The sequence below is a fragment of the Homo sapiens genome, chromosome 11, assembly GCF_000001405.40.
Source record: "Homo sapiens chromosome 11, GRCh38.p14 Primary Assembly".
In the NCBI taxonomy this organism is placed as follows: domain Eukaryota; kingdom Metazoa; phylum Chordata; class Mammalia; order Primates; family Hominidae; genus Homo; species Homo sapiens.
Window position 1 is genome coordinate 74355463 of NC_000011.10, and position 15685 is coordinate 74371147.

A 15685-nucleotide genomic window follows, 5' to 3' on the forward strand; every position below is an offset into this window, starting at 1 on the left:
AGAATGGCGTGAACCCGGGAGGCGGAGCTTGCAGTGAGCCGAGATCGCGCCACTGCACTCCAGCCTGGGCGACAGAGCGAGACTCCGTCTCAAAAAAAAAAAAAAAAAAAAAAAAAATTTGGATCCATGAAGGGAAGAAACTTTGGAGGCAGAAGCTCTGGCCCCTATGGTGGTGGAGGCCAATACTTTACTAATTATGAAACCAAGGTGGCTATGGTGGTTCCAATAGCAGCAGTAGCTATGGCAGCAGCAGCAGATTTTAATTACTGCCAGGAAACAAAGCTTAGCATGAGAGGAGAGCCAGAGAAGTGACAGGGAAGCTATAGGTTACAACAGATCTGTGAACTCAGCCAAGCACAGTGGTGGCAGGGCCTAGCTGCGACAAGACATATTTTAGACAAATACTCATGTGTATGGGCAAAAAACTCGAGGACTGTATTTGTGACAAATTGTGTAACAAGTTATTTTAGTTCCTGTTCTGTGGAAAGTGCAAAGCATTCCAACAAAGAGTTTTAATATGGATTTTTTTTTTTGCACCCATGCTGTTGATTGCTAAATGTAATAGTCTGATCATGATGCTGAATAAATGTCTTTTTTTTTTTTAATGTGCTGTGTAAAGTTAGTCTATGCTGAAGCCATCTTGGTAAATTTCCCCAACAGTGTGAAGTTAGAATTCCTTCAGGGTGATGCCAGGTTCTATTTGGAGTTTATGCAGAACTTGCTTGGGTAGAGAAATCATTGTTTTCAGAAACCTCGGTGTAGCTGAACTGATAATTACTATTGTGACCTGAACTTCACCATTAAAAGGGATTACCCAAGCAAAATCATGGAATTATTGGTTATAAAAATGATTGTTGACACATACTATGCAATGTATCTAAATTGAATAATGTTACCAGATAAAATTATAAACAGGAATGAAGCTTGTGTGTCATCCATAATCAATAAATGATTTAATTATCTTGGAAAAAATATTTAAGATGCTACTAAAGAATCTAAAAGAAGTCTTGAAAGAATAGAAAGACACACCCTATTCTTGAATAGGGAGACTCAATTATTAAAATATCGAGCCTCTCTAAATTAATACATAAATAAAATATTGATACCAATACAAATGCCAAAATAACTTTGTTTTCAAATGGGAAAAATACCATAATATCATGCATGGAAAAATATCATAAATAAAGTCAAGAAGACTGGGAGGAAATGTCTGCAAAACAGATGGCCAAGAGCTACTTTTTACATATGAAGAGTTCCCATAAATCAATAAGAAACAGCAAAAGAATAATGAGCAAATAGTTTAACAGATGCAAAACTATAAAACTCCTAGAAGATATGATGAGAGGAAGTCTAGAGGATCTTGGGTTTGGCAATCACTTTTTTTTTTTCAGATGGAGTTTCGGTCTTGTTGCCCAGGCTGGAGTGCAATGGTGCAGTCTCGGCTCACTGCAACCTCCGCCTCCCAGGTTCAAGCGATTCTCCTGCCTCAGACTCCCGAGTAGCTAGGATTACAGGTGCCTGCCACCATGTCCAGCTGATTTATTTTATTTTATTTTTTGTATTTTTAGTAGAGATGGGGTTTCACCATGTTAACCAGGCTGGTCTCAAACTCCTGACCTCAGGCAATCCACCCGCCTTGGTCTCCCAAAGTGCTGGGATTACAGGTGTGAGCCACCGTGCCCAGCCGGCAATAACTTCTTAGGTACACCACCAAAGGCATGATCCATGAAAGAAAGAATTGATAAGCTGGATTTAAAATGAAAATAAAATTTTCTGCTCTGCAAAAGGCACTGCCAAGTGAATAAAAAGACATGCCAGACTGGGAGAAATATTTGCGAAAGATGTATCTGAAAAAGGACTGTTATCCAAAATATATAAAGAATTCTTAAAACTCAACAATAAAAAAGCAAAACAGACACTTCACCGAAAGAATACACAGATGGTAAAGAAGTGTATGAAAAGATGCTTCACATCATATGTCATCAGAAAAATGGAAATTAAAACAACAATGAGATACTACTGCACACCTATTAGAATGGCCAAAATCCAGAACACTGACAACAGCAAATGCTGACAAGGATGTGGAGCAACAGGAGCTCTCATTTATTGCTGGTAGGGATTTAAAATGGTATAGCCACTTTAGAGACAGTTTGGCAGTTTCTTACAAAACTAAACATACTCTTGTTACATGATTCAGCACTCACACTCCTTGGTATTTACTGAAAGGAATGAAGACTTATGTCCATACTAAGATGTGCACACAAATATTTATAGCAGCTTTATTCATAATTGCCAAAACTTGGAAGAATCTATGATGTTCTTCAGTAGGTGAATGGAGAAATAAACTGTGGTACCTCCAGACGATGGAATATTCTTCTTCTGTGCTAAAAAAGAAATGAGCTATCCAGCCATGAAAAGACATGGAGGGAATTACTACGTGAAAGAAGCCAATCTAAAAAGGCTATATACTGTATATTCCAACAATATGATACTCTGGAAAAGGCAAAACTATGGAGACAGTAAAAAGATCAGTGTTTGCCAGGGGTTAAAGAGGAGGAATGGATGAATAGGCAGAACACAGAGAATTCCGGAGGCAGTAAAAATACTCTGTATGATACTATAATGGTGGATACGTGTCATTATTCATTTGTCAAAATGCAAAGAATGTACAAATGAAGAATGAACCCTAACATAAACTATGGGCTTTGGGTGATAATGACATGTCAATGTAGGCTCATCATATGTACCACTCTAATGGGGGATGTTGTTAACACATATGTGGGGACAAGTGGGTATATGGGAAATCTCTGAACCCTCCACTGAATTTTGCTGTGAATCTAAAACAGCTCTACAAAATAAAGTTTGTTAAAAAAAATCCTTTAACAGACTTCTCAGGGAAACGCAAATATCTTATAAATACATGAAAAGATGCTCAACCTCACTCATAAGACAGGTACAGATTAAAAATAACATTTCCACCCATCTGATTGGCAAAGATTAAAAGCTTTGATAATACAATCATGGAAGATACAGGATAAAGGCCGTCATATGTTGTTGATGAGGTTATTAAATGGTATGACCACCTTGAATAGGGAATGCAAACTTTCTTTGCATATTCCCTTTGATCCAGAAGTTTCACCTCTACGCCAGGTGCAGTGGCTGACACCTGTAATCCCAGCATTCTGGGAGGCCAAGGCAGGAGGATCACTTGAGGCCAGGGGTTCAAGACCAGCCTGGCCAACATGGCGAAATCCTGTCTCTACTAAAAATACAAAAATTAGCCAGGCGTGATGGTGCACGCCTGTAGTCCCAGCTACCCAGGAGGCTGAGGCAGGAGAATTGCTTGAACCTGGGAGGCGAAGGTTGCAGTGAGCTGAGATCGTGCCACTGCACTCCAGCTTGGGTGACAGAGTGAGGCTCCATCTCAAAAAACAAAAACAAAAACAAAAAAACCCAAAAGTTCCACCTCTAAAAATCTATCCTATAGATCAGCAGTGCCCAAAAGAAGTATGTGCACCACAAATGCAAGCCATATATAAAATTTTAAATTTTCTAGTAATCATATTAAAAAATACATAGATGAAATTAATTTTATGAATAAAGCATATATATTCATGCATATATTCATATCATTCATATGTGTATATATTCATGCCATTCATACATATGTATATCTGCTTCATTCATCTTTAAAAATCTATATAGATGAATCATAATTTATGTAATCAATCCTTTATTGATGAACATTTCCTTTGCTTCTGATCATCTGCTATGTATAAACAGTGCCACAATAAACATTCTTCTACATTCATTTTCTTTTTTTTTTCTTTTTTGAAACAGAGTTTCACTCTGTAGCCCAGGCTGGAGTGCAGTGGTGTGATCACGGCTCACTGCACTCTCTGACAGAGGAGCCCTCTCTACTTCTGAGCTTCTCCAAAAAATACAATGTCACAAATACAAATATATACACATACACACACACACACATACATATTTTTTTCTTAATATACAAGCACAAGGTTAAAATACACATATTGACTATATATACACATGTATGTGTATATATGTACATCTATATGTGTGTATATATACACGTACATACATATATATATATATATACACATACATACACATAGAATGAGAAGAAGGGAAGGGAGAGGGAGAAAGAAAAAGACAGTCTGTAAGACATATTGTTGTGTGAAATCAGCAAGGCACAGAACACTATTATATAGTACCCTACCATTTATGGAGAAAAAGATGGAGAAGTGACAAACACGTATATATTTATATATGTGTGGACTATCCCTGAACAGAAATGAAAACTGGAAACAGTATTTGCTTCTGAGAAACTGTACTAGGGGACAGAGATGGGACAGATACTTTCTACTGTTTCACTTTTTAACCTTGTGCTTACATATTAAGGAAAAAATATCTTTGAGGGTCCACTATGTGCCAAATATGTTCAACAGCAATGAATATCAAGGCAGACTAAGTCTCTCTACCTACGAACTTACATTTAGGGGATGGGGGTGAGAAGGGTCAAATAAATAAGATAACTCATCATAAAGAAACTAGACCTACAGCCTGGGCAACATAGCAAGACCCTGTCTCTACTAAATATAAAAAAATTAGCTGGGTATGATGGCTCATGCCTGTGGTTGGGAGACTGAGGCAGGAGGATTGCTTGAACCTGGAAGGTTGAAGCTGCAGTGAGCTGTGATTGTGCCACTGCACTCCAGCCTTGGTGACAGAGCAAGACCTTGTCTTAAAAAATAAAAATAAAATAAAATAAAAGAAAGAAAGAGAAAGAGAAGGAAGGAAGGGAGGGAGGTAGGGAGGGAGGTAGGGACGGAGGGAGGGAGGTAAGAAGGAAAAAAAAAAGGCAGGTAAGTGGTACATGCCTATAGCCCCAGCTACTCAAGAGGCTGAGGCTGGAGAATTCCTTGAGTTCAGGATAGCAGAGGCGGTTCCAAGATGGCCGAATAGGAACAGCTCCAGTCTACAGCTCCCAGCAGGACCGACGCAGAAGATGGGTGATTTCTGCATTTCCAACTGAGGTACCGGGTTCATCTCACTGGGGCTCGTTGGACAGTGGGGGCAGGACAGTGGGTGCAGCCCATCGAGTGTGAGTCGAAGCAGGGTGACACATCGCCTCACCCAGGAAGCGCAAGGGGTCATGGAATTCCCTTTCCTGGCAAAGGGAAGGGGTGGCACCTGGAAAATCGGGTAACTCCCACCCTAATATTGCGCTTTTCCAATGGTCTTAGCAAACCGCACACCAGGAGATTATATCCCGAGCCTGGCTCGGAGGGTCCCATGCCCACAGAGCCTCGCTCATTGTTAGCACAGCAGTCTGAGATAGAACTGCAAGGCCGCAGTGAGGCCGGGGGAGGGGCGCCCGCCATTGCTGAGGCTTGAGTAGATAAACAAAGGCCAGGAAGCTCGAACTGGGTGGAGCCCACCACTGCTCAGGGAGGCCTGCCTGCCTCTGTAGACTCCACCTCTGGGGTCAGGGCATAGCCAAACAAAAGGCGGCAGAAACCTCTGCAGACTTAAATGTCCCTGTCTGACAGCTTGGAAGACAGTAGTGGTTCTCCCAGCACGGAGTTTGAGATCTGAGAACGGAGAGACTGCCTCCTCAAGTGGGTTCCTGACCCCCGAGTAGTGCAACTGGGAGGCACCCCCCAGTAGGGGCAGACTGACACCTCACACGGCCGGGTACCCCTCTGAGACAAAGCTTCTAGAGGAACAATCAGGCAGGAACATTTGCTGTTCAGCAATATTCGCTGTTCTGCAGCCTCCACTGCTGATACCCAGGCAAACAGGGTCTGGAGTGGACCTCCAGCAAACTCCAACAGACCTGCAGCTGAGGGTCCTGACTATTATAAGGAAAACTAACAAACAGAAAGGACATTCACACCAAAACCCCATCTGTACGTCACCATCATCAAAGACCAAAGGTAGATAAAACCACAAAGATGGGGAAAAAACAGAGCAGAAAAGCTGAAAATTCTAAAAATCAGAACACCTCTCCCCCTGCAAAGGAACACGGCTCCTTGCCAGCAACAGAACAAAGCTGGACGGAGAATGACTTTGACGAGTTGAGAGAAGAGGGCTTCAGATGATCAAACTTCTCCAAGCTAAAGGAGGAAGTCCGAACCCAACAAAAAGAAGCTAAAAACCTTGAAAAAATATTAGACGACTGGCTAACTAGAATAACCAGGGTAGAGAAGTCCTTAAATGACCTGATGGAGCTGAAAACCATGTCATGAGAACTACGTGACGAATGCACAAGCTTCAGTAGCCCATTTGATCAACTGGAAGAAAGGGTATCAGTGATGGAAGATCAAATGAATGAAATGAAGCAAGAAGAGAAGTTTAGAGAAAAAAGGGTAAAAAGAAATGAACAAAGCCTCCAAGAAATATGGGACTATGTGACAAGACCAAATCTACATCTGATTGGTATACCTGAAAGTGACAGGGAGAATGGAACCAAATTGGAAAACACTCTGCAGGATATTATCCAGGAGAACTTCTCCAACCTAGCAAGGCAGGCCAACATTCAAATTCAGGAAATACACAGAACGCCACAAAGATACTCCTCAAGAAGAGCAACTCCAAGACACATAATTGTCAGATTCATCAAACTTGAAATGAAGGAAAAAATGTTAAGGGCAGCCAGAGAGAAAAGTTGGGTTACTCACAAAGGGAAACCCATCAGACTAACAGCTGATCTCTTGGCAGAAACTCTACAAGCCAGAAGAGAGTGGGGGCCAATATTCAACATTCTTTAAAAAAGAATTTTCAACCCAGAATTTCATATCCAGACAAACTGAGCTTCATAAGTAAAGAATAAAATCCTTTACAGACAAGCAAATGCTGAGAGGTTTTGTCACCACCAGGCCTGCCCTACAAGAGCTCCTGAAGGAAGCACTAAACATGGAAAGGAACAACCGGTACCAGCCACTGCAAAAACATGTCAAATTGTAAAGACTATTAATGCTAGGAAGAAACTGCATCAACTAACGAGCAAAATAACCAGCTAACATCATAATGACAGGATCAAATTCACACATAACAATATTAACCTTAAATGTAAATGGGCTAAATGCTCCAATTAAAAGACACAGACTGGCAAATTGGATAAAGAGTCAAGACCCATCAGTGTGCTGTATTCAGGAGACGCATCTCACGTGCAGATACACACATAGGCTCAAAATAAAGGGATGGAGGAAGATCTACCAAGCAAATGGAAAACAAAAAAAGGCAGGGGTTGCAATCCTTAGAGATCTACAAAGAGACTTAGATTCCCACACAATAATAATGGGAGACTTTAACACCCCACTGTCAACATTAGACAGATCAACGAGACAGAAAGTTAACAAGGATAGCCAGGAATTGAACTCAGCTCTGCACCAAGCAGACCTAATAGATATCTACAGAACTCTCCACCCCAAATCAACAGAATATACATTCTTCTCAGCACCACATTGCACTTGTTCCAAAATTGACCACATACTTGGAAGTAAAGCACTCCTCAGCAAATGTAAAAGAACAGAAATTATAACAAACTGTCTCTCAGACCACAGTGCAATCAAACTAGAACTCAGGATTAAGAAACTCACTCAAAACCACTCAACTACATGGAAACTGAACAACCTGCTCCTGAATGACTACTGGGTACATAATGAAATGAAGGCAGAAATAAAGATGTTCTTTGAAACCAAATGAGAACAAAGACACAACATACCAGAATCTCTGGGACACATTTAAAGCAGTGTGTAGAGGGAAATTTATAGCACTAAATGCCCACAAGAGAAAGCAGGAAAGATCTAAAATTGACACCCTAACATCACAATTAAAAGAACTAGAGAAGCAAGAGCAAACACATTCAAAAGCTAGCAGAAGGCAAGAAATAACTAAGATCAGAGAAGAACTGAAGGAGATAGAGACACAGAAAACCCTTCAAAAAATTAATGAATCCAGATCAACAAAACTGACAGACCGCTAGCAAGACTAATAAAGAAAAAAAGAGAGAAGAATCAAATGGACACAATAAAAAATGATAAAGGGGATATCACCACCAATCCCACAGAAATACAAACTACCATCAGAGAATACTATAAACACCTCTATGCAAATAAACTAGAAGAAATGGATAAATTCCTGGACACATACACCCTCCCAAGACTAAACCAAGAAGAAGCTGAATCCCTGAATAGACCAATAACAGGCTCTGAAATTGAGGCAATAATCAATAGCCTACCAACCAAAAAAAGTCCAGGACCAGACGGATTCACAGCCGAATTCTATTGGAGGTATAAGGAGGAGCTGGTACCATTCCTTCTGAAACTATTCCAATCAATAGAAAAAGAGGGAATCCTCCCTAACTCATTTGATGAGGCCAGCATCATCCTGATACCAAAGCCTGGCAGAGACACAACAAAAAAAAAGAGAATTTTAGACAAATATTCCTGATAAACATCAATGCAAAAATCCTCAATAAAATACTGGCAAACCGAATCCAGCAGCACATCAAAAAGCTTATCCACCATGATCAAGTGGGCTTCATCCCTGGGATGTAAGGCTGGTTCGACATATGCAAATCAATAAATGTAATCCAGCACATAAACAGAACCAAAGACAAAAACCACATGATTATCTCAATAGATGCAGAAAAGGCCTTTGACAAAATTCAACAGCCCTTCATGCTAAAAACTCTCAATAAATTAGGTATTAATGGGATGTATTTCGAAATAATAAGAGCTATTTATGACAAACCCACAGCCAATATCATACTGAATGGGCAAAACCTGGAAGCATTCCCTTTGAAAACTGGCACAAGACAGGGATGCTCTCTCTCACCACTCCTATTCAACATAGTGTTGGAAGTTCTGGCCAGGGCAATCAGGCAGGAGAAAGAAATAAAGGGTATTCAGTTAGGAAAAGAAGAAGTCAAATTGTCCCTGTTTGCACATGACATGATTGTATATTTAGAAAACCCCATCGTCTCAGCCAAAATCTCCTTAAGCTGATAAGCAACTTCAGCAAAGTCTCAGGATACAAAATCAATGTGGAAAAATCACAAGCATTCTTATACACCAATAACAGACAAACAGAGAGCCAAATCATGAGTGAACTCCCATTCACAATTGCTTCAAAGAGAATAAAATACCTAGGAATCCAACTTACAAGTGATGTGAAGGACCTCTTCAAGGAGAACTACAAACCACTACTCAACGAAATAAAAGAGGACACAAACAAATGGAAGAACATTCCATGCTCATGGATAGGAAGAATCAATATTGTGAAAATGGCCATACCACCCAAGGTAATTTATAGATTCAATGCCATCCCCATCAAGCTACCAATGACTTTCTTCACAGAATTGGAAAAAACTACTTTAAAGTTCATATGGAACCAAAAAAGAGCCTGCATTGCCAAGTCAATCCTAAGCCAAAAGAGCAAAGCTGGAGGCATCACACTACCTGACTTCAAACTATACTACAAGGCTACAGTAACCAAAACAGCATGGTACTGGTACCAAAACAGAAATATAGACCAATGGAACAGAACAGAGCTCTCAGAAATAATACCACACATCTACAACCATCTGATCTTTGACAAACCTGACAAAAACAAGAAATGGGGAAAGGATTCCCTATTTAATAAATGGTGCTGGGAAAACTGGCTAGCCATATGTAGAAAGCTGAAACTGGATCCCTTCCTTACACCTTATACAAAAATTAATTCAAGATGGATTAAAGACTTAAATGTTAGACCTAAAACCGTAAAAATCCCAGAAGAAAACCTAGGCAATACCATTCAGGACATAGGCATGGGCAAGGACTTCATGTCTAAAACACCAAAAGCAATGGCAACAAAAGCCAAAATTGACAAATGGGATCTAATTAAACTAAAGAGCTTCTGCACAGCAAAATAAACTACCATCAGAGTGAACAGGCAACCTACAGAATGGGAGAAACTTTTTGCAACCTACTCATCTGACAAAGGGCTAATATCCAGAATCTACAAATAACTCAAACAAATTTACAGGAAAAAAACAACCCCATCGAAAAGTGGGCAAAGGATATGAACAGACACTTCTCAAAAGAAGACATTTATGCAGCCAACAGACACATGAAAAAATGCTCATCATCACTGGCCATCAGAGAAATGCAAATCAAAACCACAATGAGATACCATCTCACACCAGTTAGAATGGCGATCATTAAAAAGTCAGGAAACAACAGGTACTGGAGAGCATGTGGAGAAATAGGAACACTTTTACACTGTTGGTGGGACTGTAAACTAGTTCAACCATTGTGGAAGACAGTGTGGCGATTCCTCAAGGATCTAGGACTAGAAATACCATTTGACCCAGCAATCCCATTACTGGGTATATACCCAAAGGATTATAAATCATGCTGCTATAAAGGCACATGCACACGTATGTTTATTGCGGCACTATTCACAATAGCAAAGACTTGGAACCAAGCCAAATGTCCAACAATGATAGACTGGATTAAGAAAATGTGGCACATATACACCATGGAATACTATGCAGCCATAAAAAAGGATGAGCTCATGTCCTTTGTAGGGACATGGATGAAGCTGGAAACCATCATTCTCAGCAAACTATCTCAAGGACAAGGAACCAAACACCACATGTTCTCATTCATAGGTGGGAATTGAACAATGAGAACACTTGGACACAGGAAGGGGAACATCACACACCGGGGCCTGTTGTGGGGTGGGGGGATGGGGGAGGGAAAGCATTTGGAGATATACCCAATGTAAATGATGAGTTAATGGGTGCAGCACACCAACATGGCACATGTATACATATGTAACAAACCTGCACGTTGTGCACATGTACCCTAGAACTTAAAGTATAAAAAAAAAAAAAAAAGAATCCCTTGAGTTCAGGAGTTTGAGGCTACAGTGATCATACCACTGTACTCCAGCCTGGGCAACAGAGTGAGACCCCATCTCTTAAAAAAAAAAAAAGGAAGAAGCAGCGATAAGTTCTGTGAAAGAAATAAGATGGCAAGAAAGAGTCACTGATGGAAGCCATTTTAGATAAGGTAGCCAGGGAAGATCCTTCAAGGAAGCACTATCTGAGTAGGAACCCAAAGGATAAAAATAAGCAAGTTGGCAAGATTTGGGGAAGAGCAATCCAAGCAGACGACAAAACAATTATAAAGTCTCAGAGGTGGGAAAGGGCTTGCTATGTTGGAGGAGCTGGAGAACAGAAGGGAGCAGTGGTATGACTGGAATGCAGTGAGCGCAGGAAGGGAAGGAATGAAGAAACAGGCATGAGGCAGATTATGCAGACTTATAAGCTCCAAGGCAAGGGGGTTGGGTTTTATCAAAAGAATAAGAAGCCACTGAAGAACTTTAAGCAGGAAAGTTCATATTCTAAGAGATCATCTGTCTGCTTTGTGGAGAATGGATTGCAGGGAGAACAATGGAAGCAGGGAAGAGACCAATTAGGATGCTTAGGTTCAGATAGAAGACAACAATGGTTTAGAATGATGATTGGTAGAGGATATGGGCAGAGGTAAGTGTATTCAACTTCTATTTTAGACATAGCATCTGTAGAACCCGTTAGTAGATAAAATGTTAGGGAAAGGAAGTAATAAAAAATGATCCTTGGTTTTTGTTTGGGTGGGTGGTAATGTTAATTTACAGAGATAACAGACTGAAGGAGGACCACTCTTAGGTGTATATGTTGTGGGGGAATCAAGAACTCTGTTCTAGAGACACTAATTTTGAGGTGTCTGTTAGACATCCCAATGTATCAAGTAGGCAGTTGGCTATGTAGTCAGATGATCAGAGAAGAGATGTGGGTTCTTGGCTTTCTTTGACAGTGGACCTATAATTCCTTGCACTCTTTTATCTCTTTGGTTTTTATGACACCAATCTCGTTTAGTCTTTCAAAAGAAGACAACAATGGTTTAGAATGGTGATGGTAGAGGATATGATATGGGCAGAGGTAAACATATTCAACCTCTATTTTAGACATAGAATTTGTAGAAGACTCTCCTAACTCCAGCTTCTCTTCTTCCCTTCCTTTAAAGTTGATATTCCCTAGGGATCCATTCTTGACCTTTTTCCTTTCTGCTCTATACTCTCTCTGGGCTACTCATGCAAGTAAAGGATGTCCAAATAATCTTATATGCTCTAACATGTGTGGTGACCCACAACTCTATAACTTAAGTCCACATTTCTCCCCTGAGCTACAAGTCTATATATCCAACTACCTATAGGACATTGCTACCTGGTTGACCCAAACACCTTGAACTTAATATGTCCCAAACTGAATTAATCACGCTTCTTCTCTGTCCCTATGAATGGTAACACTGTTCTTCACTTAGCTGACCAGGGCCAAAATCTTACATTAGCATTTAAATCTTTCTGCCAGTAAGACAGAGCTCGGTATGTCTGCAGTCCTCCAACATAAGAAGAAAAACAAATACAAGAACACAGGCTTATGACCCACCCAGAAGCCCCAAATCGTGGTTCAATACTGTGCTGCATTCTTCTATTTCCCCTCCAGAGCCACTTTTCACCCTTCTCCATTCTGCTTTCTGTCACAGAGGCTGACCCATCAAGTGGAATCCTGTGGCCAAGAAGCAGCTCCGGCAGAAAGTCAGAGAGAGAGGAGAGTGAGGATAAGGTACCATTCCTCTGGTTCTGTTGTTGAAAACTCCGATTCATTTTTCAAGTACTTGCTGCAATGTGACTTTATGAAACGGTAGAGAGGATGGATTTAGGAAGGGATAGAGAAATCAAGGACAATTAGGAATAAAAGAACTAAAGAAGACATTTTTGTAATTGTACACATTGAGAAGTAATAAATACCATTAGGGATACACATTCTTTGAGGACCAGCCTCAGTGTTTTTAACTTTCTGTTCCCAATGTCTAGCTCTGCTCTCCAGTATAGAAAACATACTCAACACATATTATTTGAATAAAAAAGATGAACTATAAGATAAGCAAAGGTCAGGAGTCCAAGGTTTACCTTGTATCCATTGTCTTCCTTGCGGTTGTGAGAGGCAGTAATCATCACACCTGCAACTGCTTTGAGCTTCTGAACTGCATATGGCTGAAAAATAAATAACACCATAATTCCATTTTGCTTCCTAGCTATTTACACATTTGACATGAGAATAATTTTGATTAAATAACAGGAAAAGCATTATAGTATGATATTGCTTTTGTTGATACCCTCTTTATTTTCTATTTACTTGATTTTTCCTCATACCTTTATTATAAGATTTCCTTCCTTTTACTTTTTTGGATTTCTTCTGTTTTAGCACAAACATGTTAAGTGAAAGCCAACTTATTATTTTAAAATCTTTTTTTTCCTTATATATTCATTAAGGCTATACATTTCCCTCTAAGTAGGGCTTTAGTTATATCCCATAATTTTTGCTATGTATTATTTTCATTATTGCTCACTTTTAAATACCTACAGGCAGTCCTTGCTTTGCTCAGTTCCTATACACAAAATTACTGATACTATGCTTTTGTTAAAATAGCTCCAGTCTCCCAACAACACGTTCAAATTTCAGTTACCACGGTAATATTAGCCATAACTGCATCAAGTACACACTTGGCTTCTAACTCTTCAGTCCACACATCCCTACATTTATAACACAGCCACATCATGATGAGTGATCAATCATATCACTCTTCAAAAGGGTGTCAGTGATTGGTCACTGAGCATCTGTTACTTAGCGCTCACACAAACTGCAAAACATGTGGCTCTATTGCCTCCTTTTCTCCCAATAATAGACCCACATGACAGTGTACAAAAATGGATAATGGAAAGTGGGAATTGGCCAACAAAGGTGAAAGTGCAGCAAAGAAACAAAAAGGAGTAATAATAGAGAGAAATTTGAATTAAACATAAATGGAGTTATAGAAAAAATAAGTGGGAATGCTGACACTGCTGCCATTCAAGAGACTTTAGACATACTACCAGGGAAGTGTAGTGAAGGGGAACACATGGATTAAACGAGGAACGAGGCTGTAATGAGAAGGATGAAGATGTCCCAGAGGAAGTGACACCAACAAAAAAAACCTTCATATTAAAGGAACTCCCAGAGATATTTCACGACATTGAAATTAACAAAGGATAAGATGCTGGAAGTGAATCCAAACTCAGAAAGGTATATTAACAATTTGCCAAGGCACAGAAAAGATGCTTGCTTGTAATATAAATAAATTATAACCACAAGAAGCAAGCTCTGTTTATCTCCTGATAAGTTTTATTAATTTATTTATTTATTGACATGGAGTCTTGCTCTGCTGTCCAGGCTGGAGTTCAGCGGCACAATCTCAGCTCACTGCAATCTCTGCCTCTCAGGTTCAAGCAACTCTCGTGCCCCAGCCTCCTGAGTAGCTGGGATTACAGGCGTGCACCACCACACCTGGCTAATTTTTGTATTTTTAGTAGAGATGGGGTTTCGTTGTGTTGGTCAGGCTGGTCTCAAACTCCTGACCTCAGGTGATCCACACACCTTGGCCTCCCAAAGTGCTGGGATTACAGGCATGAGACATTGCCCCTGGCCTCCTGATAAGTTCTTTTTACAAAGAAATAAAGTACTTTAGTTATCAATGTTTCTTAACGTTTTAAATTACAATGTACTAAATAAACATTCATTTTATCATTGTTTTTTCTTTTCCCTATACATTTTTAACCAAGAGTAAGAGTGTTTTTAATGTTTTGGCAAAAAAAAATGTTAAAGGTCATGGAACAGTCATAATTTTTCTCATTTATGATTAAGATCATTTGGCATGGTTTTGGCTTGTACAGCTGTCTTTATAGCCCCCACGCTCCGTGCAAAGCAAGGACTGTCTGTCATTGCTAATCTGCATTATGTTATCTTCCTTAATCCATGAATAGTTTATGAATGTGTTTTAAAAATTCCAAACAGGGGAAGATTTATGGGCTTTTTTATTTCTGATTTTATTGCATGGGATCCAGGTATATGGCTTGATAAGCAGTTCTTTGGCATTTGCTGAGACTGTGATTCTGCTTAATAATAATGTAAATCCTATTGTCACTCAATAGAGAATTTTTACACACATACACACACACACACCCAGATCAAGCCTGTTAACAATGTGTTCAAATCTATCCTTCATCATTTTTGTCTGCCCAATGAATCAATTTCTGAAAGAAGATGTTAACATATTTCACTATAACTGTAGACTTGTCAACTTTTATAGATCAAGTTCTTAGCTAAGTTTAACAAATGTCTGTTGAATGAAAATAAACTCAAAGCAAAATTTGTTTTCCTTCCATTGGTCCCTTATATTACTCAATACAGAACTACATGCACAAAAAATATTTGAATCCTAGTTGATTTAAGAAATGTTTTCAAGAGCAGCAAGCTATATGATCACCAACACAACACACTTACTACAAAAGGTGTAGGAACATATCTTGAAAAAAGGTACACAGGAACATCTTTGGCCAGCAAGACTGCAGCAGTGAGTTTAGCAAGCCTAAAAAAAGAGAGATTTAACTTAGTCCTTTGCCTACCATACTTTTTAAAAACCAACCTTCCACATAAATGTTTCATATTATAATTAGTCTGAATAAATAGTATCCTAATATAGCCCTTTCTTATAATCACTGATTATTTAAACTTCATGCCCTAATTGGA

At 39.5% G+C, this 15685-nt stretch overlaps 1 protein-coding gene and 1 long non-coding RNA gene across 3 annotated transcripts in view; one reads left to right on the plus strand and one right to left on the minus strand.

The window, feature by feature from the left end:
• LOC112268078 (uncharacterized) overlaps positions 1-13269 on the plus strand; it is a 40429-nt gene extending 27160 nt beyond the window's left edge. The window contains exon 3 of the long non-coding RNA XR_002957258.2: positions 12603-13269. This is a non-coding gene — a long non-coding RNA (uncharacterized LOC112268078). The remainder of the gene's footprint in view (positions 1-12602) is intronic.
• PGM2L1 (phosphoglucomutase 2 like 1) overlaps positions 1-15685 on the minus strand; it is a 68118-nt gene that overhangs the window by 25147 nt on the left and 27286 nt on the right. For both annotated transcript variants that reach the window (NM_173582.6, XM_011544953.4), the window contains 2 exons: positions 15440-15524; positions 13030-13113 (listed from right to left, as the gene is read on the minus strand). In NM_173582.6, the coding sequence (NP_775853.2) occupies positions 13030-13113; positions 15440-15524 (169 nt within the window). The remainder of the gene's footprint in view (positions 1-13029; positions 13114-15439; positions 15525-15685) is intronic.